Raw genomic sequence first — 23,627 nt, 5'->3', positions numbered from 1 at the left:
CTGGCTGTGTCTCTGTGGGCACAACCCCATCTGACAGGGAAGTGCCGATATCCTAAGCTGCAGAGAGAGGAAGAGAAGGACCCACTTTGAGCAGCCTATAAGTCAGGACCAGCCGGTTGAAGGCTTGGCGGCGTCCAACACCAGACTGCGCCATCCAGACACTGTTTTAAAACTTCTAAATTAGTTGTCGAAGCCTCTCAAACTTAAATGTCGTGGCTAGCCTAATTACCTACATGTTATTTAGATTCTATTTCTTGAATCTCAGTTTCTAAAAACATCAACATTTAGCACGGAAGGCAATTACTTGTCAAGAATTTTGGCATAGTGTGAGCCCAAATTTTCCTTTCAAAAAAGGCTTTCTGGAATGAGAAGCCTGTGAACAGCTAGAGGAGAGAGTGAGTGGTCACACCGTTTGCAGCACCGGCTCTCAGCTGGGGCCTGAGGACGCAGGGCACGCATGCCTGTGGGAACTAGGCGGGTTGTGTCTGGGGACAGTCAGATTGGTTCTGTGCTCAGTTTATAGCCAAGGATGTCAAGACAAACTGCACAAAGGGCTCCACCTGAACAAAACTATGCGGAAGGCCAAGGCAGGGAGACCATCAGACTGGAGAGCAGACAGCCTTCGTCCCAGGAGAATGACTGAGCCCAAGTTTCTACTTTTGGACCTAGGTTCTATGCCAGTGGTTCTCAACTGGGGATGGTTTTGTTCCCCAAGGGACATTTGGCAGTGGCTGGAGACATTCCTGGTTTTCACAACTGGAGGGGAGGAGAGGCTCCTGGTATGCAGTGGGTGGAGGCCAGGGACGCTGCTCAGCACCGCAGTGCACAGGGCGGCCCCACAGCACAGGATCACTGGGTCCCCCACGGCAGTAGTGCTGAGGGTGGAGAAACCCTGTTCTATGAAAGTCAGGAATTTTCTTCACTCAAATGCAGCATGCCAATGTTTAGAGGAAGTTGTGGCTGTAGCCATATAAAGAATGATCTGAGGCTGCCTGGCCGTTGGCAGTGGTTCATACCTATAATCCCAGCACTTTGGGAGGCTAAGGTAGAAGGATCGCCTGAGGCCAGGAGTTCAAGACCCCTGGGCAACATAGCAAGATCCCATTTGTAAAAAACTTTGTTAAAAAGATATAGCTGGGCATGGTGGTACACATCTGTAGTCCTAGCTACTTGGGCAGGTGCAGGGGTCATGGAGGGGAGAGGGGCTGAGGGAGGAAGATTGCTTAGGCCCAGGAGTTTAAGGCGATAGTGAGCTATAACTGCGCCACTATACTCCAGCCTGGCTAACAGAGTGAGACTCTGTCTCAAAAAAAAAAAAAAAAAAAAAGACCCTGCTGGTGATGTGTGTTTATTTCCATTTAAAAACCTTTGCTGCCAGTTGTGGACCTCTGACTATAGTTAGGGCCGATGTGGAGAGAGACACATCAGCAGGACAGGAAGAGGCTAAGGTGGTTGTGGAACCGTGCCCCAAATCCGGTGAAGCAGTGCACTGGATTGAACAGTGCCTCTCAAATTTGCATCCACTCAGAAACTTGAAGTGTGGGCTGCATGCAGTGGCTCATGCCTATAATGCCGTAATTTGGGAGGCTGAGGTGGGTGGATCACTTGAGGTTGGGAGTTCGAGACCAGCCTGGCCAACATGGTAAAGCCCGTCTCTACTAAAAATACAATAAATTAGCTGGGCGTGGTGGCAGGCGCCCGTAATCCCAGTTACTCGGGAGGCTGAGGCATGAGAATCGCTTGAGCCAGGGAGGTAGAGGTTGCAGTGAGCTGAGATCATGCCACTGCACTCCAGCGTGCGCGACAGAGTGAGACTCTGTCTCAAAAAATTAAAGAAAAAAAAAAAAGAAAAGAAACTTGAAGGGTGACCTTATTTGTAAATAGAACCTTTGTAGATGTTGTCAGTTAAGATGAGGTCATACTGGAGCAGGGTGGGGTGGGGCAGGGCCTAATCCAGTGGCCAGCATCCTTATAAGAAGATAAGATGGAGACACAAAGACACACACTGGGGAGAATGCCAAGGGCCCTGGGAGGCAGAGGGGCAGTGATGCGTCCATAAGCCAAGGAATGCCGAGGGTTGCCAGCAGCCACCGGAACCATGAAGAGGGAAGGAAGGACCCTTGCCTGAGCCTGCAGAGAGATCACGGCCCTGCTGGTTCCTCAGTGTTGGCCTCCTGGTCTCCAGAGCTGTGAGAGAGTGAATTTTTGTTGTTTCAAGGCCCTAGCTTGGGACACTTTGTTACAGCAGGTTAGGAAACAAACACAGGCCAGAGGCATCTGAAGCTGTGATGGGTGAGGGTGATGGCCAAAGGACCCAGCCACGTGGATGGTTGGAGGCTCAGGGTCCAAATCCAGCCCACATAATGTGGATCAAGATTTCACGTAGAACGTCGGACTTCTGGTTTCTCATGAAAGACTGGGAAACAGCTACTTCCAGCCTCTGGCTACTCGCTGGGAGCTGACTGTCCAGTTCCCTCTCCTGGGGTCTTCGGAACCTCCAGGTTCGGAAGCCCAGAATACTCATGGCTGGGACAAAGTTGTTTTTTCTTTTCTTTTTTTTTTTGATATGGAGTCTCGCTCTGTCACCCAGGCTGGAGTGCAGTGGCGCGATCTCTGCTCACTGCAAGCTCCGCCTTCTGGGTTCACGCCATTCTCCTGCCTCAGCTTCCCAAGTAGCTGGGACCACAGGCGCCTGCCACCATGCCTGGCTAATTTTTTTGTATTTTTAGTAGAGACACAGTTTCATCATGTTAGCCAGGATGGTCTTGATCTCCTGACCTCGTGATCTGCCCACCTTGGCCTCCCAAAGTGCTGGGATTACAGGTGTGAGCCACCGCGCCCAGCCCAAAGTTGTTTTTTCTTAGGTGGAGAAGCCTTGTCTATAACCAGGTCTCTAACAGAACAGGGAAGTGCAGGAAGACCAAGAAGGCCGTGCTTCAAAGATGGGAGTCTCTGACGCTTTGTGGCAGCGGAGACAGTGTCCTGTTCTTCAGCTGGCCCTGGAGAGCCACAGCCTTGCTGTCCTGCCTATGCGGGGACAGGGGTCCAGCTGACATTTCTGAGTGCCACTGTCTACCCACCCACCCTCTGCTGGACTTGAACTTCCCTTCTCTCCAGTTAGAATGAAGAAGTGATCCCAGCTTGGCCTCCACATTGGCAGCAGCTGATCCCCCCACGGCGTAGCTTAACCTGGGACAGAGAAGGAAGCGTGACAATGACCGAGAGCTGGCATTGTCAGAGCTATGTGAACACACTTGCCCAGAATGGGCGAGTCTGGGCTCCTGGGCCCGCCCACCACAGTCCTACAAGGCCGAGAAGACCAATTTAAAGCAATGAAAGAAAGTGCTGGCGAGGATAAGGCTCTGGTGGAGAGGTTTTAATTTTATATTAAAAGGGGTCTTATTCTCCTGCCCATTGTTGAAGTCAAGTCAAAGTTAATTAGGCTCTTTGGGCCCTTCTCATGTCCTTTTTCCTGAACTTTCTGAAAACATCAGAGGAAAGGAGCCCTCTCCAGCCACATGGAGACTGGGCGTATGTGTTCTAGAGAGCTCTGCTGTCCCTTCTCTACAACGATGCAGGATTAATGGTGATTTCTAATATTTGAGGGGGTTCCTGAGGCCCACTAATAAGCCCATCTATTTAGCAAAGGAGCTCTCAAGCTGCCTGAAGGTTTGGGGAAGGAGCCTGAACTCCTTCGGGGCCACCAGGGCCACGCCTCAGGAGAGGCTCCTGGAGATCCCTGCACTGGCCCAGCAGCGGCCGGGACCCCTGTGTGTGGCTTTCCAGGCCCTGTGCAAATCAGGTAGGCTGAATACTCACATGTCTCATTACTCTATGTGGGTTTTCAAATATTTCTTTGTTAAAAATGTTAAGGCCAGCTGCCGTGGCTCAGCCCTGTAATCCTAGCACTTTGGGAGGCCAAGGCGGGAGGATAGCTTGAACTCAGGATTTTGAGACCAGCCTGGGCAACACAGGGAGATCCTGTCTCCACAAAAAATACAAAAAAAAAAAAAAATTAGCAGGGTGTGGTGGCGTGTACTTGTGGTCCCAGCTACTCAGGAGGCTGAGGAGGGAGGATCATCTAAGCCCAAGAGGACGAGGCTGCAATGAGCTGTGTGATTGCACCACTGCACTCCAGCCTGGGTGACAGTGAGAACTTGCCTCAAAAAAAAAAAAAAAAAAAAAAAAAGAAATTAATTATCAAAATAACACATGATGATTTTAGCAAGAGATAAGAGAAAAGACGCATGTCTACCTCCCGACCCCGCTCCATTCCCATCAGAGTCAAGAGCCTTGCCCTTGCCAGCACTGCAGTCGCTCAGACACCAGGCAGCAGCTATGCAGGTTTTTGGCTTCGACGTTTTAAAATAATAGTGAAACCCCATCCCTACTAAAAATACAAAAATTAGCTGGGCATGGTGACAGGTGCCTGTAGTCCCAGCTACTTGGGAGGCTGAGGCAGGAGCATCGCTTGAACCCGTGAGGTAGAGGTTGCAGTGAGCTGAAATCATGCCAATGCCCTCCAGCCTGGGCAACAGAGCAAGACTGTCTCAAAAAAAAAAAAAAAAAGAAAGAAAGAAAGAAAGAAAGAAAAAAGAAAAGAAAAGCATGGCTGCCTAGGATATGGACATTTTCCAGTTAAGAAGACCATTCTACAGATGGACACATATTGTTTCTGGTGTTTTGCCACCACACAGTGACGCTGCAGCCTCCGTGGTGCTGCATCCTTAGGTATTGTTGATTGGATTTCTCCAGGACAGATTCCTGAAAGGCAGGGGTCAAAGGTAGGAACATTTTAACACTAACCCATGTTGTTGGACTGCTTCTCTGCAGGCTGCAGCATGGATATTCCAGCCAGCAGTGGGTGACAGAGGCTGCTTTCTTGCATATTGCCAGCGCTGGGTAATAGCATTCTTTTAATTTTGGTAATCTAACCAGTGAAAGATGGTATTTCGCTATTGCCTTTATTCCCCTTTCATTGACTACCAGTGCAGTTAAGCATCTTTCCACCAGCGTGCTATTTGGATTTCTTATTTCGAGGTGTGTATTTGTAGCCTTTGCCCAGTATTCTACTGGGTGGTTTGTCTTTTATGCCATTGTGAATGTGGGGATAGTAACTCTCCCTGTCCCGCCTGATGCATGCCTCCTCTGGCTGTGATCTGTGTGCGGTGGCTCCTCTCCCCCATGGACACCTCCCCGTCCACGAAGGCATTGGGCACCCCGTCTTGTTTGAGAATGTCCCCTGCCAGCCGTTTGTTACACAAATCGCTTTCTGAATTTTCTTCCATTACTGCATGCTTTTCTTTTCCGTCTACCTGTGGAGTCGACATGGAGGGTGTTTCCTGGGTGAACATCACAGCGTGTACCAGAGCCGTTTATCAAATAAGCCTTGCTCCCCCACACTGAGTTGGAATGACACTGTGTCACTTTTTTACAAAGATGAATTTGTGGAAAAATAAGATATCAGATATTCTCTCACACCTTCTGAACATCAAAAGTATTTTGATAGCATTTTTTAGGATATTTGTTAAATTCTGCATTTTATTCTAGCTGTGTATGTACTGTAACACATTTCTATCCTTAATTACATTTTTAATCTTGTACCCCCATTCCCTAGCACAAGATTTTGCTCATAATAGGTTCTCAATGTCTGGAAAATGAAAGAATAAGTAGTTGATAATAGCTATGTCATGTTAATTCTATGAGGAGTTGGGGACTATTTCTGATATTTTGTGACGACTCTAGGAAAGTGATACAATGTCAAGAAAAACAGAGGAGTTAGGCACCTGTTCACCTACTGGGTATTTAATTTAATGACGTTGTGTCTGGGATGTCAGGTTTTAGCTGATCAAGACTAGCATGATATAAAAAGAGTCCACAAGATCAGAATTGGTATTTCATAGATAAGACACAAATAGTGTGGCTTTGGGGTCTAGGAAGCCCTGTTTATCCAGACAGTAGCTTTGCAGTACACTAAGCCCTGTTGGGTGTGGGCCTGAGATGGAGTCTGTGGTCTTACCGGTACTGGCTGGGACAAATTTGAAAATCTGTAGGAGAATATATTACATGAGCAGAAGCGCAATGTTCTGATCAACCAAATATTCTGTTTAAGAGGGGGAAACATTGCATTTAGAATTTGGGAATAAAGAAAGATGAGCTGGGTGTGGTGGCTCACACCTGTAATCCCAGCACTTTGGGAGGCCGAGGCAGGTGGATCACCTGAGGTCAGGAGTTTGAGACCAGCCTGACTGACATGGAGAAACTTAAAATACAAAATTAACCGGCCGTGATGGCGCATGCCTGTAATCCCAGCTACTCGGGAGGCTGAGGCAGGAGAATCGCTTGAACCCAGGAGGCGGAGGTTGCAGTGAGCCGAGATTGCACCACTGCACTACAGTCTGGGCAAGAAGAGTGAAACTCTGTCTCAAAAAATAAAAAAAAAGAAAGAAAGATGAAATGCTATACTATCCTCAGGGAGAAGAAATAAACAGGCGATTCAAGATTCCTGAACGACAAAAATAACCATCATCTGAGGGTGTGAAGTGCTGAGAGAGAGAGAAAGGTGATGGTAGCATAGCATGGAGTTAGGGGTAGTTCACCAGGTGCTGATGGCCTGTGTGTTCCATTTCATAAATACAACAGGTGCAGCTGTGCTGCCAGGTGCTGAGGGTTGTGCTAGCCACCACCTAATAGACCTGAATCTTCCCTTGGGCCCCTTAGAACAGTGGTCCCTAACCTTTATGAGTCTTCCCTCAGGCCCCTTAGAGCAGCGGTCCCCAACATTTATGGCACCAGGGATCGGTTTCATGGATGACAATTTTTCCAATGACCAGGGAGGGTGGGGGGGATGGTTTGGGGATGATTCAAGTGCATTATATTTATTGTGCATTTTATTTCTATTATTACATTGTAATATATAAAGAAATAATTATGCAACTCACCATAATGTAGAATCAGTGGGAGCCCTGAGCTTGTTTTCCTACAATTAGTTGGTCCCATCTTGGGGGTGATTGGAGACAGTGGCAGATCATCAGGCATTAGATTCTCATAGGGAGCCCACAACCTGGATCCCTTGCATGTGCCGTTCACAATAGGGTTCACACTCCTATGAGAATCTAATGCCGCTGCTGATCTGACAGCAGGTGGAGCTCAGGCAGTAATGTGAACAATGGGGAGCAGCTATAAATACAGATGAAGCTTTGCTCACTGGCCTGCTGTTCACCTCCTGCAGTTCAGCCTGGTTCCTGACAGCCTGCAGACTGGTACTGGTCCAAGGCCTGGGGGTTGAGGACCCCTGCCTTACAGGAAAGTTCTTCTTTTGTCATTCGTATCTTGGAGGGAAAATGAATCTACACTTTGGCAGGTGTGGCTCGCGCAGTGCCTGAGTTTACCACCCCACCTCTAGCCTCGGGGCAGAAGCGGGGGCCATTGGACTCCATTATTAATTCTTCACTTCTGAAATCAGACTTCCGTTAGCACCTCCGGCTTCCATAACTAAGCACTACAATCCAGATGTCTTACGCAGAAATGATTCCCTCGTGGGGCAAAGGCCAGAAGTCCAGGACCATGGTGTTGGCAGGCTCATATTTTTCTTGGGGGCTCAGAGGGAAAATCTAGTCTGTGGCTTTTTCTAGCTTCTGGTGGTGGTGGCAACTCTTGGTGTTCCTGGGATTAGAGATCTATCACCCCAGCCTCTGCCTCTGTAGTGCCACAGCCTTTCTCCCCCGTGTGGTCTGGGTCTCTTACCATGTGACTGGTAAGGCATCAGTCACATGGGATTAGAACCCATCCTATCCTAATATGATCTCATCCTAGCTGAGTGTATCTGCAAAGACCCTTTTTCTGAATAAGGTCACATTCACAGGTACTGGGGTTAGGACTTGAGTGTCTCTTTGGGGGACACAGCCCAACCCACTGAGGTTTTATGACTGGGGGATCCTGGGGCACTCTCCACTATCCAAGTCCATGAGGCTGATGGGCTTTGTCCCCGCCCACCTTCTGTGGGTTGTTCTTGGGTGGCAGGGGTGTTGGGGGCACCGACCCAGCCCCCGTGTTGCTCCGGTCCCTCTGTGGCCTCTTCATGTTCGGTCACTGCTGAGCAGCTGCAGGGTGAGCATCAGCTCCCAGAGGCTGGAGCTTCCCACCCTCCCACACGGCCCTGGTGGCCGGCAGTGTGCCCTTCCCTCCAGATAATAATGAAGATGTTACGGGAAACAAACCCTAACATTGACCTTTGCAGCCCCTCGTGAAACACCACTCCCTGCCCCCGCCACACCGACCCGTGCATGGCTGAATGTCATGTATCCTTTGTCTCTGATCTTTGAGTCGGTTTCCGGTACATGAGACTGTTCTCATCCAGGCGGGTTCAGACCATTTGGCAAGAATAATTTCCCAAGCCTGGTATTAGATGCTGCACAAAAGTCTAAATACATAATGCATCTAGCCTCGGATTTTGTAATTCTGTCACCCTCAAAACAAGCTGTCAAAACTGTCTGGCATGACTTATCCTTAATAAATCCCTAGTCCTGTTAATTGCTCCTTATTCCACTGAATAAGAATTGTTTGAATCCACAAATCGGGTAAAGAATGGAGGATAATGGGATGTGTTTAGAGGATTGCAGTGTTTTTCCCCCAGGACAAAAGGAGCTAGAAGACACAGTGGGCACCGTGCAGCTCCCATACAGGGAGGCTGGATTTAATGTGCTTCAGCTTTGAGTCTGGCTGTTTTCAAATGGTTCTTTCCATAGAACGTTTGGCAGGAAAGTGATACATTGGTTGTCTTGGAAAAAGAGAAGGGAGGCTGAGTTCCGTGACACTGATTGTTCTAGAACCCATTTGGGGGCACCTGCCTGGTGCTATGCGTGACTAGCGTGCTGTAAGAAGTAACCAGGGGAGTGTGCATGGTGGTGTAGACAGGTATAGTGGCTCTTACGAGGACTGTGGAGGTATCCCAGCACCTCCATGAAGACGAGGTGCTCACCCCCTCTGGCCCTGACACTCAGAGAAAGGCTTTGGCTCCAGATAGACCTGGTTTATCTTCTGGCTTCAGCATCTAACCTGGTTTTGTGACCCTGAGCAAGAGACTCACCCTCTCGAAGGCTGCGTTTCCTCCTCTCTGAAGTGGGGTGGGCCGCCAACCTCAGGGTAGGAACTGGAGCTGGGATGGAAGCCCCCAGCAGGGACACCCTGACATGGCTACTGCCCACCCACCTTAGGCCACGAGGAAACCAGGTCAACAGGCACTTACAGAGTGTGCGCCACATGATGGCATGGGCAGAGACATGGCCTGGCGTGACAGTCACACCCTGGGCCTCCCCCACTTTGAAGTGTGTCTCAGGGCCTCGGTTTCTTGGCCTACAACATGCGGTAGCGATACCCACCCCGCCAGGCTGTCACAGAAGACTGCACCTCTATATGTGCAAAGCCCCATTCATGGCTCCTGGCCCAGAAGGCATCCTCAGTCAATGCCAACAGGTAGAAGATGCAGCGCCTGGGTGAGCACAGCCCGACTCTCCACGTGGTGCCGCAGCTGTGTGTGTGGATGCATGTGGGCACGTGTGTGCACGTGCGTGTTCAACACGTCTAGAGGAACCTCGGTTGTGCCCACTAGGAGGAAAGTGCTGTTGGCCTCCAGAGAAAGGAAGATGATTTGGCAGGGGCATGAGCAGTTGGGGACCTGCCCTTCCGGAGATAGGATGATGTCAGCCGCAGGGCAGGGCACAGGTTGCAAACTGCAGGTGCAAGGCCGCTGAAGTGAGGCTGGCATGCTGGAACCTGGCAAGCATCTTCTCTAAACATAGTCCATAGCTCAGGGTGCCGGGTGCCAGGCCCCTGCCACCACTCTGCTCAGCTGGGGACAGTACGCAAATGTGGGCGCAGCTGTGTCCCACGAAACTTTATGTATGGACAATGAAATTTGAATTTCACATCATTTTCATGTGTCATTAAATATTATTCTTTTGACCTTTTTTCAATCCTTTATAAATGTAAAAACCAATCTCAGCTCATGGGCTGTACATAAACAAGGCGGCGGCCCAGGGACTCTGTATAAGAGGGAGGCTGCCGCCTGGCGATTTCAGGCCCAGACCACAAGTGCTGGGAGGACAGGGACCCCTTCACTTTGTCCACTGCTGTATCTTCACATCCAGCAGGACCCTTGTGCAGAGGGGATGCTCAGGGGCCATGAGCAAGCAAGGGGATCTTAGCGTTTGGCTTCATGGCGTGCACTAGACTTTCTACTCTGGGGAGGTTCTTTGTCTGTCATTCTTGGGTCCCCTGCATGTAAAGAAACCTGGTCCTTCCCATTAGAAACACCACTTGTTTTTGTTCATGTCAGTCCTTCGCACAGAGCTCCTGGGTGGAGTTTACGGAATGCATGTGATCTCTACAATCACAGAGCCCCATCGGCGACTTTCCTGGAAGGCTCGCTCCACCCACAGCCGAGGATTCTTGGGCCTGGAAGAATACGGGACTAAGATTTCTTCTCTTCAGGAGCTTCTGAGGGGAGGGGAGCCAGCCTTCCTTCCTTCCTTCCTTCCTTCCTTGCTTCCTTCCTTCCTTCCTTCCTTCTTTCTTTTTTTTTCATTCTCATGCCTCAGCCTTGTGAGTAGCTGGGATTACAGATATGTGCCACCACGCCAGGCTAATTTTTATATTTTTAATGGAGATGGGATTTTGCCATCTTGGCCAGGCTCATATTGAACTCCTGACCTCAAGTGATCCGCCTGCCTCGGCCTCCCAAAGTGCTGGGATTATAGGCATGAGCCCCTGCACCCAGTCAAAGGGGAATGTTTCATACCCCAAATTTAGAAACATAACCCTCTTTCAAGATCTGGGTATTAACGAACATAAAGAGAACCCTTAGTCCAATGCACAGCATCAAGAGGGAAGACATTTAATGTCATTTTGAGATTATTAATTTTTAAATAATGAAAAAGTTTTGTTCAAATGGAACAAAATTATCTCACATCTATCTGCTTTTTAAAAAATAAGCAGGGGCCAAAATGGAAACAAATGACGTGAAGGACTTAAAAGAGACAACTGCTGTAATCCCAGCTACTCGGGAGGCTGAGGCATGAGAATCACTTGAACTGGGGAGGCGGAGGTTGCAGTGAGCCAAGATCATGCTATTACACTCCAGCCTGGGTGAAAAGAGTGAAACTCTGCCTCAAAAAAAAAAAAAAAAAAAAAAAAAAGAAAGAAAGAAAGAAAGAAAAAGAAAAAGAGACAACTGGTGGCCACTCCCAGCAGGCGCTAAGAAATGCCCTGGGACCGCATGTGGGTGCTCTCGGCCGGCACAACGAAGCTCACACTATCTGTCCTTCTACCATGGGCTCTCGCCTCCAAGTGGAGAGGATAAACAAGAGCCAGAGGTTTCAGAGGAATCCCAAGCAATGAGCTGCCTGTTCCTCTTTCGAGAGGGGAGACCATTACAGAAATTCACAGTGTGATTTGGCTTGCAGCTTATTTTATAGATGTCTCTGTCTTAGCTGAGCACTCTTCCATTCCTCGGCCAGAAATATGAGCATACGGGAATGTATACCTACGGCGACCTAGTTACCCCAAACTTAGGAATATGTTCCGCAAAAATAATTCTACAGGAAAAAGTGATACAGAAATCCTCATAGCAGAGTTACTGATCATTTTTAAAATGTTGTCAATACCCCAAATGTCCCAAAGTCAAGGAACTATGAGAGGAGCTATGAATTCTTATTGAGCACTCTGTTACCACTAACTGTGGATATGGAGGCTGTGTAATACCACGGAAATGTCTGAATTCAGTGTGAATATGTGGGGTGGAGGATAGAGAATGAGAGCTACATGTGGGTGAAGGCTGGAAAGAGACACTTTGATTTGTCAGGATGCTAAGATTGTGAGTTCATTGTTTCCCTTCAGGTGTGAATTTCATTACTTGAGTAAACAGGCAAACAACACAAAAGATTTTATTTAACAGGAACAATATTAACTTATTAATAGTCTTTTTTTTTGCCACCAATAACAGGTCAGGTTTGGATTCAATCTGTTCTTTATACTTTGCACCCATTTTTCTTCTTTCTTTCTTATTTATTTATTTATTTATTTATTTATTTATTTATTTATTTTTGAGACAGGGTCTTGCTCCATCACCCAGGCTGGAGTGCAATGGTGCGATGTCGGTCCACCACAGCCTTGACCTCCTGGGTTCAGGTGATTCTCCCACTTCAGCCTCCCAAGTAGCTGGGACCACAGGTGCTCGCCACCATGCCCAGCTAATTTTGTTTATTTTTTGTAGAGACAAGCTCTCACTATGTTGCTCAGGCTGGTCTCAAACAAGAGATCAAAGGATCCTCCTGTCTTGGCCTCTCTAGTGCAGGATTACAGGCACGAGCCACTACACCCAGCCTGCATCCATTCTTTCCAGTCTGGCAAAGATGGTATGAACCTGGGATCCAGGAAGCACTAGGCAAGCAGCAAGACACAGGTCACCCCTTTCCCGGCCCCTGGGGTGTGGTGGCCTCTTCAAACACTCCAGGTGTTCGCTGATGACCTGCCCTCTCTCTACCTGAAGTGATGACATGTCTGGTCACAGCCTATTCAAAACTTGGTATTTCTTAGACAAAAAATTTTGCAGCCAGGATAAGATGCGGTGTGTTAAGCATTGAAACCCATTTCTAAACTGGAATTGGATTTGGCTCTAGAATGACCTGAATTTGGTGGATCAGAGAAAACACGACCCCTTTTTCTTCCCGGCATTTCTTCCTGGATAGTCTGGCTGGCATGTGCCTGCGCAAGGTAGCCTTCCACCACACAGGCTGCCCGTCCCTGAGTACTGGAATCCAGTCCTGCAGGGTGAGACCCCGGACACCACTCTCCCACCTGGGGAGTGTGCTGCAGAAGACCAGAAATGCAGGAGAGAAAATAATGACACGAAGGATCTAAACAATTTTAGGAAAATGCCCAGCCTTGTAATACAGTAAAAGATCTTACTCTTAAGACAGGTGCCAGGAACCACTAAGATGCCATTTATCATCCTTCTCTGCTTCCTTGGTTCTCTTTGAGTGCCAGTGAAAGGTCCACCCTAGAGCTCTCATTGCTTTCGAATGCACAATATTCAGCACTCAAGACACTGGTAGTGCCTGGCTCTCCCAAAGGTGCCGTCTTTGTGCCTTTTGGGTCTGAGAACGGAGGCATCTTCTTCAGCTCATCCCAACATTGCTTGGAACAGGACAAGGCTGTGAATCAGGGTCTCTCTGGACCAAATGGCCCTTCCTCTGATCTCTGCTGCATGCTTTCTAGATAAAGCACAAAAGCAGAATATAAAACAGTCAGCAGGTAGCCACCCTCTTCCTCTTCCTCCTCCTCATCTTCCTAAACTAGCACTGCCCACAGTTGGCTGTACACACAAATCACCTGGGACTCTGCATGACTGATGAGCTCCCACGGAAGCCATGCTGCTGGCCCAAGGACCACCCTTTGAGCACTGTGGATCTGGCCACCCCTCCTGGCAGCTCCCAGATCCTGAGAGGATGGGAGGAGAAGGGTTTCGGCAGAGAGAGCTTCACGGGAAAGCTCTTCAATGCCCGCTGGTGTGAAGGGACCAGTGGGCCTTGGTTCTGGGTCATATGCAGGACGGTGTCCCTCCTCCTGCTCCTCACCTGAAGGGAGAGGACAGAAATCACTGTGCTGCTTAAATGCCTGCCACTTTAAAGGTGTTTAAGATCTAAGACAATGATGGCTATCGGAGATAAAATAAAAACACTGCACCTTTCTGTATCGCATCAAATGTTTTGAAGGATTTTCCAACCAATTACTTGATTAAGGTGGATATCATCGCCCTGGTTCTACAGAGGAGGATGCTAGAAGACAAGAAGATGTGTGGCTATCCCCGCCCATGGCCAGTGGATAAAAGTGAAGCCAGGCTAGCATTCAGGTGTTTGGGCGGACCCCGAGCCCAGTGCCCCCACTTTGCCGTGTTGCAGGAGAAATTCAGATGATGAACCATTTTTTGCATGTGCAGGTGCAGCCCTGCAGGGACCTTTGTGTTGCTTGGCGTGTGGGGTGGACCTGCTGGCCGCCTCTGCATGGTGTCCAGGCTTCCTGGAGGTGGAGTCACCTGTTCTTGGTGAATGCTCAGATCCATGGGCTTGGGCTGCACCTAGCAGAACTTGAGGCAGGAGGACGTCACGCTGTGACTGTGGATACAGCTGCAGCTGTATAACAAGTCCCACAGACAGGAGCCACTAACAATGGAAATTCATTCTTGCATGGCTCTGGAGGCTGGAAGCCTAGGATCAAGGTGTCTCAGGGCTGGTTTCTCCTGAGGCCTCTCCTTGGCTTGTAGATGGCGTCTTCCCTCTGCGTCCTCACATGGCCGTCCCTCTGTGCGTGTCGGTTTCCTAATGTCCTCTTCCTACAAGGACACTGGCCAGATTTGAAAAGGGGCCACCTCAATGACCCGATCTGATCTTAATCCCCTCTTCAAAGATCCTATCTCCAGATACAGTCTCATTCTGAGGTCCCGGGGTTTAGGGCTTCAACATATGGATTTTGGGGACATGATTCAGCCTACAGCTATGGCCCTACTTGGTCATTTGTGGAGGGCACGGCACATGCAGCAGCTGCTGCAGAAGTTGATTAGGAAATAGAATGCCCCAAGGACCAGCGGCCATGTCTCAGCTAAAGGCCAGGGTGGCGGAGACCCCAATCACAGCAGTTTCAGCCCATCTGCTAGGCCAACAGAGGCAACGCCCACGACAGCTCAGCCCAACCTAAGGGCTTCCCGGAGGGCTGCTGAGGTTCTAGGAGGCCGAGGAGTCACCAGGAGGGAACAGAAGGTGGCCAGGCGGGACCAAGGGAATGGCCCGAGTGTCACCCTGGGCCCAGGACATTCCTGGGGATGGCACACTGGGTCTGAGGCATTGTGACTGTAAGAAGTAGACTCCTGCTGGGCCATCACCAGCTTCCCGGTCAGCTGAGGTAACCCTTGCTCCTACTGGGTGACCCAGCGTTCTGGAGGCACTGGGTGTGCCCCAGGCTGGGGTCGCAGTCTTCTGTGTGGGTTTCCATCCAGCTTAGCCTGTGACTCCTTGAGGACACCGCGTCTCCTGGTCATACCGCAGCCTCCTCATCTGAGAGTTCCTATTGAGGTCCCCGCGGTTCCACTCTGGCTGTCATCCTGTGCCAGCCCGCTCCTCGCTGGCCAGCCCTGAAACACTGGGGTCCTCACTTGGGAAGTGGGGTTAAAAACTCTCATCCTCTCCCACTGAGACTGTTGTTTTGGCATAGGTTAAAGTAAATTTGATGCAAAAACTTCTCGAACACTGTTACTGAAACAACATAACTGATTTTTCACAAATGTTCTAGCCATATTCTGCCATCATTCAGAACTCTTGGGAATACCCCTCCTGAAACTGCCCTCTGGGTGGATGGTGTTCTTTAACTCTTGTCTCCCATGGGGGTGGATTTGACTTTTGAGTCACTTGTTTCAGGGTATGGTCAGTGGACCATTCCCTTCGAATCCTGGACACAGAATGAGTCCTCTTAGCCCTGAGGTCTATCAAGGGACAAAGACAAAGCAATAGACAGGGTGCATGTCATGCTTTAATCTGTGTAAAAGAGGAGGGGGGACACACACACGCGTGCACGTTCATTTGCTCACACATGTAGACACATAACTGGAATGTTTCTCACGGGAGGAGATCTGGGGGCCTAAGGGGTCTGGGGGAGGGATGAGCCTTAGATTTTACTCTACCCTTCTGTTCTTGTTTTTGTTTTAAAGAAATCAAATTGATGTATTACTTTTTTCCATTAACAAATGTTTTTAAAGAAAGAGCTGTCTTTCTAGACCCTGGGAACCAGAAAATGAACGCTCATTGAAAAGAGGCTCTACCCTCCCTGCTGCAGAGAAGCCTCATTTCATCCCAGTTCCAGACAACTTCTCCCTTTCCCCAGCACTCCTAGTCAGCAGCACAAATCTGCCAAGAGATGCACCTCCGAGAAATCCCCGAATCTCCTCGTTTCCCCCAGTCGACTCCCCAGGCAGCCTGGTCTCTCCCTCCACCCTCCACACCTCTCGATTTGTGACTGGACATCAGGGGGTCATGTCGGGCATCTGGGATGCACAGACACCCTGCGGTCCCCGGGTCCCTAGGGTGGGGGAGGTGAATCGTGTCTATTTCAGTGGGTGAGGCGTCTCCCATGGGGGGAGCCCAGCACCCTGCAGCAGCTCTCCAGGTGTGGCTTCAGACATGGCCTGGTGGTCTGGGAGGTGGAAGAGCCTCTTGTTCTAATCACCGAGGCCTGTTCTTAGGATGTGAAAGAGTTCCTGGCCGGGGCCGGGGGGGGGGGGGGCGGCCTTGAGACCAGGACCAGGGTGTGGAGGCCAGATGAGCAGGGACTCTCCTGAGGTGTGGCCCTGTGCATGGACCACAGGTCAGGAAGAGCAGAGGGTCAGGAAACCTTGAAGCCCCTCTGCTTGCAGCGGTCTCTGCCTCCCCGGAAGCCATACAATGTTTTCTGGTTTGCTTGCCAGAAGCCAGCTGGCCCCTTCTGCATAATCCATGTGTGTGCATGCATCTGTGTGCCTATATGCATGGCGTGGTGTGTGCGTGTGTGCAGTATGTGTGTGCTTTCTCATCTGTGAGATGAAGCACGCAGAATTTCCTGACTCATCATCCAGTTCATTTGTCCCTTTTCCTCTTAGATATCTAACATTTTTTATTTTATTTTATTTTATTTTACTTTATTTTTTGAGACAGAGTTTTGCTCTTGTTGCCCAGGCTGGAGTGCAATGGCGCGATCTCGGCTCACCGCAACCTCCACCTCCCGGGTTCAAGCGATTCTCCCGCCTTAGCCTCCTGAGTAGCTGGGATGACAGGCATGCACCACCACACCTGGCTAATTTTGTATTTTTAGTAGAGACCGGGTCTCTCCATGTTGGTCAGGCTGGTCTTGAACTCCCAACCTCAGGTGATCCACCCATCTCGGCCTTCCAAAGTGCTGGGATTACAGGTGTGAGCCACTGCACCCAGCCAGACGTCTAACATTTTATAAGGAAGTCTTGCCATATGCCCGCAAGTATTCAGAAGACCAAGTTGGGAAATGCCCCAACAGATTCCAAAAATAGGACTTTTCCGCTCTTCTAGGTTGGGGAAATGTTTTGCAGAGGTGGTTCCAAACGGATCATCACTCATCAACCATTATGTTCTCAGTAACAAGACGGTGAAACATGCAGATCTTTGTTGGGCAGAAAACTGTAAAATAAGGAAACAGTTGACGACAATCGATGACAAAGGGTTATATTATCATTAATTCATGTTTATTGGACTTCCACTGGGCACATGTTCTTTTCCAAAAATTTTATTTTAATTTTTATGCAGAATCACGGAAGCGTCCTCTTTTTAAACGTCGGAATTAGAGAAGTGTATTTGTCTGACATTAGATGGAGTTCAGTAAATATTTGTTGAATGAATGAACACATTCGCATCATGCTCCGTTTATGCCGCAATATTGTTGCCTCTGCCTTTTTACGTACTGTCACTTTCTCCTCTTAGGAGTTTTTGGAAAGCAGTAGGAGCCCTCTGAGCGGTGCCCACCGGAGGGCACAGCCAAGAGGTGCAGTGTGAATTGGGTGCCCAAAGTCCTTGCTTAGAAGATTTTTTAACAGAGGTTAAGCTTATGGTATTTTTCATGTGACAGATTGTATTTCTTTTCATTCTACCTAAAATGTTCAAAAATTAAAGGGTTTATTTTTCAAACTGGCAGAATACGTTTTAAAATAGGAAAGCAAATGCTAGTACCAATTTTGCATTTAATAATAAAAGGAAAGTGTGTTTTTTAACTTCATAAAGAATCAAATTGTTAGATGACCCCCATTTGGAAAGATCATTAATGTTGATTCATTACGCCTTTTTTTTTTCTGTTTGATCACTGTTAAGTTGAAAATAAGCTCCAGAAATTAAAAAGAAAAATGAATTCTGGAAAAATATCCCCCCAAAATCACATTGTTCTTATTTTATTACCTTTTTTTTTTGAACAACCTAAGCATATATGTTACTGGTAATGTCTGTGAGTAACAAGAACTGGAACACTTACTCGCAAACTATTTTGTTTTAAATAAGAATGACTTATTTCACTTTAATTATAGCAGGCAACATTTAGGTATTATTTTCATTAAGTATATTATTATTTGTGGTAAATTGTACTGAAACATTTGTGTTTTCCCCCCAAGGTCTTATGGACACCACAAATTCACGTGTTTAAATATGGAGTTTACGGTGGCTGGAAGCACTCCTATTAATTCCGTTATATGTGGTTTGGGCTCCCTAAATAATGTCTAGCTAAAACCTCTCTTATTACGTCCAGATGCAATTCATTTTTTTCTGATATACAGAACACTGGAAATGTATCAGCCTTTATTATTCCTCATCGAAATGAGTGCCTTTAGATTTCTAATTATATTGTCTAATAAAACTAAACAGTCAATGCTATTTGCATATTATATGAAGAAGTGTCATACAACAAACTCATAGCAGTCAATTAACATAAAAGCTAATTATATATCTCATCAGCTTACAAGAGTTTCTGAATTCATGCTTCCCCTGTTGTAGCCTAGAGCAAAGGAGCTTTGAATTTTCACTTCTAAATATTGACTTTTAACTAATATCAGCAGTGATTTCAATTTTTATGGATGAAAAGTTAGTGATTAAACTAGATGCAATATTGCTACAATGCAATTAAAATTTTACATTAACTAAACCTCTAGAAAGAAAATCTTTGCTACAATGTGAAATTAATTATCAGTCACTAAACAGGTTAAGTACTGGTTTCATATCTGAAGGACACTCCAAAATAACGATAAAGATGAGTGAAATTTATTGGAGGTTGTCAGACTGTAATGGGAGAGACAGATATACCACAACGACAGTTTCCACTGTAACATAATTGTATTCCTGCTGATTGTGACAGCTATCAAGCAAGAAATTTACTACAAGATTAACAGAGACACAGTAATGAACAAACATGGAGGCATGCTGTAATTGGCCGTTATTAAAGTGTTATCATAGAGGTCTGTAATAAACTCCCTAGCTCTTCTCTTCTGGAGAAGCCAAAGCCAGAACTTTCAAGTACTTCTTTCCACTCTAAAGTAGGGCTATGGGTATCTCCCCACCCCCATTCCATTGCTCACACAACAAGCACAGGGTCAGAAGAAACGTAAAGGGGGAGAAATAGGCACTGCATTTAGGAAGTATGATTAAGAGTTATAGGTGGGGTTCAAATCTGGGAAAAGTTAGGATTGACTTGGAGTGCTTGGGTACTCTAAGATAGCAATGAAATTATCATGGATCATTTTTCTACTTATAACTTGTACCAAACAAGTCCATATGTAAAAGCAATGGCAGATAAGAAAACTGTGCCAGTGCGTGGGTTTTCTCTGGCTACACAGGCCTTCTCATTCATATTTTAATGAGGTTAGTATCTCTGAGACAGTCCTTGGAGGGCAGAGGCAAGGCTCCCTAAGATTACAATAGGAGGTGCTTTATTGACAAGTACTATTCAAAATCTTCACAGTATAGAAAGACTTCGTTTTATTCCACTTGTCCCAATCCTTATTGGCCTCTTATAATCAAAACACTTTGAGGGGGAAAAAAAAGCCCAGTTATTCTGTGAACAGTCTTTAAATGTACTGAACGTAGTTCAGCTACTTAGAATCATTTTAAACTCTAATCATGTACATTTGAATAAATGTATAAAGAGCTGTAATGCATAAGTATCTTTTTCTTAAATACTTTCTCAAAAAAATTGATGCTTTGGGATTTCAGGATCAAAATTTTTCTTAATCTTCTGCAAAAATGAACTCCACTCGTCTCATGCTGGCTGTTTTCCCTTTCCTGTTTTTAACGAACATCGTAAGGTAGTGTCTCCGAGCTAGCTGCCAGCAAACATTTTCTACTTTTAAAGAATGTTTACTCTAAAGGGCTAGCGAATCACATCAAAAAGCCAGTCAGCCTTCATAGACTGACAAAATTGTAGAAATTCACACGTTTGTACCTTGCCATAACATATTTGTGTTAAAATAGGCAAAACAGTAGCATATTCAAACATGTCAAATTACACTTTCAAAATAAAAACAATCCACTGGTAGGTAGAAAGTTTTAACATGGGGAACTGTTTCCAAAAGGTGCAACCTAGGAAATAAATCAAGTGGCCCACAGAAGTAAGTTGTGGAAGGCCTTCCACACACAAACATTACAATTTTGCTCAAAACTTATATGCTCAGCAACTTTTGCAAATAGCTCACAATGTTCTGTGAATTGAAAAATTAGTTTTCAGCGTGGCCTCTACTCAACATGAATTAAGTGGTGTATTAGGATGGAATTTGGTGTTCTAATGGAAGGAAGGCCTAAGTTTCTGAAAGCCCCCAGCGATCAGACCCTGGTTCCTCCTGGCTCTGTCCCCATCCCCCCAAGTATCAAGTATGTTTACTTTTCAGATGGGAAACGAGAGTGGGGGAGGGAGGAAGGAAAGGAGAGAGAGAATGAATTTCTTGATTACAGTTAGATATTTTTAAATGACAGCGTCTACTCTTCACTTTCAAGTAAAATGCTACTCTGTTGACATCCAGAAACTACTATGAATATATTGTATATGTATCAGCTAAGGAAATAATACCTAAAATACATGCATCACAGAAAAAGAAAACCTCCGTAATCTTTCCGCTAATGATCTGTCTTGATTAAATTACATTTTAAAATCTGCCTCTGCATTTTATAGTTTTTCCAGTGATTAATACGTGTTTAATTATTTGTTTCTGTAAATTAATAAAACAGATTTTCAGTTTTGTTTGTTAATCTACGTATTCTTTGCATGTTTTACAACTTAATGAAAATTAATGAACGGCATAATTAAAGCGTAAGTAGAACGCTACTTGTGTTTGAAATGTGCACTTTGAGCCACTTAGGCTGCAGTTTTTGACTGTAGACATTTTTAGCGATTAAAACATTCATGAGTTTTAAAAGCGTGGTATTTGAGTGATTAGATACGTGTGGTGGTATATTCTATTAAATAGTCCATAAGCTATTTAACTTCCGATTCGAGTGCCTGGGCCTTGAGAGCAGCTCAAAATCAAGCTCCAGCCGAGTCGTGGGGGAGAAGGAGGGATGTTACCTGTGCACAGGGGAGGCGCAGCTGATAGTTAATCGGCGGCGGTATTTCTCTGACGCGTCCTCTTCCCAAGTTTCTTTTAGAATGTTTTGACAAAGTGGCTTCCTTATTGAAACGGGGGGCGCCGGTGGCGATGCTGGGTGGTTTGTAATGGAACCTGGGTCTCAAGAACACAAGCGCACCCTCCGCCCGCGCTTTCAAGGGGACGCCGCCGCGCCGCTGATGAGATTTGTGGCCAGATGGCGGTGAAGCGCGGAGACCCTTTGTGCGCCCCGAGCGCGCCTGTGAATGTAGCGCGGCCGCTGGCACCGGAAGGGTTCATACTGCGCCTGAAAGGGGACAATGGAGGCTGGATAGATCAACACTGCAGAAATCGAGTTCATTTGTGATTCAGCCCCTTTCACTGCGGTTGTCATGCAAACTTCCTACTTTGATCAGCAGAGGGTGGAGAGGGAAAAAGCCCGCAAAGGCCCGGGCTGCGGCGCGGTCCGGCGCCCTTGGCGGCTCCACGCCCCCTTCCGGAAGGAGCCGCGGGGACGCCGCATCCTGCACCTTGACCTGTCTAGACGGCCCCGAACGTTTTGTCTCCGTTACCAAGGGCGAGGGGTGCTCTTTGACCCGCGCCCGGGGCGGAGGTGGTGGCCAAAGGGTCCAGCTGAATCCTCGCCGAATTCCGGAGGGAGAGGGGCGCGCGGGGACGTGCACCAGCTGTTCCCAAAGAAAGCAGCCGAGGAGCCCGCCTGGGAGATGGGGCGCCCGTCCGTGAGCCCCTTCCTCTCCCAGCCCCACGTCCACCCCAGCCCGGGCCATCGCGCGGCTGCAGCGTGGGGGACGCGCAGCCAAGGGCAGCCCCGGGGAGGGCCAGACTTTGGGCCTCCCCAACTTCTCCCCGACTAAGGGGATCTGAAGCCAGCTGAGCGCGCGCTCTCTCTCTCGCTCTCTCTCCCTCCCTCTCTCTGTCTCTCCCTCCTTTCCCTCTCTCTGTCTCTCTCCCCCTCCTCTCTCTCTCCTCTCTCTGTCTGACAAGTAGATGGATAATAACTGCCATTTTCTATGCGTCATGCTTTTTGCTACATGCTCAGTGATTTCTAAACATGATTCTATGTAGAGGTATAGTTTCTAGTTTGAATGTATTTTTTTTCTGGCCACTTTGAAATATATGCACTTTTAAAAAACTGGAATTTACGCTAGCCCCGTAATGATGTAAAGCAGGTCGTTGTTACATTGTAATAACAATCTGCGGTACCGTCTTCTGGGCCCGTGCTAGGGAAGTGGCACACGTTTGCATTCAGGGAGAGTGTGGCGTTTCCATGTGGACTCGCCGGAAGGTCTTTGAAGTAACATTAACATTAAGACAAGTTTCCTCGCCCTGTCTTTCTTCTTAGATCCCCCTAGCTCAGTCGGAGGCGTTCCTAACGGATCTTTTGGAGAAAGTCTGTGAGCGAATGAACGACTACAAGCTTGAGGAAGACCCTGTGACGAAGGAGAGAACTTTCAAGAGATTCGCTCCTAGGAAAGGAGACAAAATATACCAAGAATTTAAAAAATTGTATTTTTATTCTGATGCTTACAGACCTTTGAAATTTGCGGTAAGCTCTCTTCCTTGCAGATGAATCGTATGATCCAGAAACGTGTTTTTGGAACTCTTTTTTGTTGTTTTCTACTCTTGTTGTGGTTGAGTTTCAAGACATGGAACATCAAAATGCACATTAAAATGTCATCTGCTGACTTTGTTGTCTTGCTGCTTAAGTGCTCACCATGCGTTTAGTAACTTGACTTTTGAGACACCTAAGGGGTTGTGGCAATTTATGGTGATCAATGGACACGTCTCAGTGATACTTTACGGAAGGTGCTGTGCACAAGTCCCGGGGACTTTAAGACAGTTTTGCAGAACGTTTTGCTTAAACCATTTTGCTCGTGTGGGGACTCCAGAGTGGTCTTAGTCAGTGCTGGTGCAAGGAAGGTCTCTCACAGGTTTCCACATAAGGAATCAGGGGCTGTGGTTTCTAGGTTAAAAGCCAAATTAAAACGAATGCCGCTTTCAAATATCTACAGCCAAATGACAGAGGGAGAGTGATGCAACCACCTCTTTTTTTCTAAGGCTTGACAGAGGAGGGAGAATTGTATCCTGAGTTAATTCGAATATTCTAGCCCAAACTAAGTTAAACAAAGGCTTAGGTATGATAGTTAGCCTGATGCCAAATTTCCTTCCAGTGTAATGTTGATTTTTTGTGAATGCTAGTCTCTGGCTTGCTAGAATATGCTTGGCAAAATACGTTGCAATATTTTTCACTTTAGTCAATGCTGTTGAATCAGACAAAGTGATGGGCAGTCCTGTTTTAAAAAATGTATTAAGTTCACACATTGGCCAAAATACCAGGCCTGCTGAAACCTTGAAATAAGGGCTTTAGCCGATTTTTAAAGATTTTATTTTAACTAGAAAGTAAAGGCAATAATCAGGGTTAAAAGTACTACAGAATAAGAAT

At 47.1% G+C, this 23,627-nt stretch overlaps 1 protein-coding gene across 19 annotated transcripts in view, besides 2 other annotated features; it reads left to right on the top strand.

Annotated features, from left to right (window-relative positions):
• Positions 1 to 23,627, top strand: part of CNPY1 (canopy FGF signaling regulator 1) — a 45,431-nt gene that overhangs the window by 14,936 nt on the left and 6,868 nt on the right. For 5 of the 19 annotated variants that reach the window (NR_163158.1, NR_163157.1, NM_001393663.1 and 2 more), the window contains one exon: positions 22,527 to 22,730. Coding sequence is in view for 8 of the 19 variants with exons in the window: in NM_001393663.1 (NP_001380592.1) it covers positions 22,527 to 22,730 (204 nt within the window). In the remaining 11 variants the exon portion in view is untranslated. Of the gene's footprint in view, positions 1 to 21,461; positions 22,731 to 23,627 lie in introns of those variants that run through there. The other 14 variants (NR_163167.1, NR_163166.1, NM_001369820.1 and 11 more) reach the window with 5 other exon arrangements.
• Positions 21,103 to 21,948: an enhancer, noted in NCBI's record as "OCT4-NANOG-H3K4me1 hESC enhancer chr7:155302371-155303216 (GRCh37/hg19 assembly coordinates)". NCBI's record gives its function as "activates a minimal SCP1, AML or CMV promoter by ChIP-STARR-seq in naive and primed H9 embryonic stem cells {active_cell/tissue: H9 hESC(naive and primed)}" and the evidence as "EXISTENCE:reporter gene assay evidence [ECO:0000049][PMID:30033119]".
• Positions 21,949 to 22,796: an enhancer, noted in NCBI's record as "NANOG-H3K4me1 hESC enhancer chr7:155301523-155302370 (GRCh37/hg19 assembly coordinates)". NCBI's record gives its function as "activates a minimal SCP1, AML or CMV promoter by ChIP-STARR-seq in naive H9 embryonic stem cells {active_cell/tissue: H9 hESC(naive)}" and the evidence as "EXISTENCE:reporter gene assay evidence [ECO:0000049][PMID:30033119]".

The sequence above is a fragment of the Homo sapiens genome, chromosome 7 (genome assembly GCF_000001405.40).
Source record: "Homo sapiens chromosome 7, GRCh38.p14 Primary Assembly".
Classification (NCBI taxonomy): Eukaryota; Metazoa; Chordata; class Mammalia; order Primates; family Hominidae; genus Homo; species Homo sapiens.
This window is presented reverse-complemented; position numbering and strand designations above follow the sequence as displayed.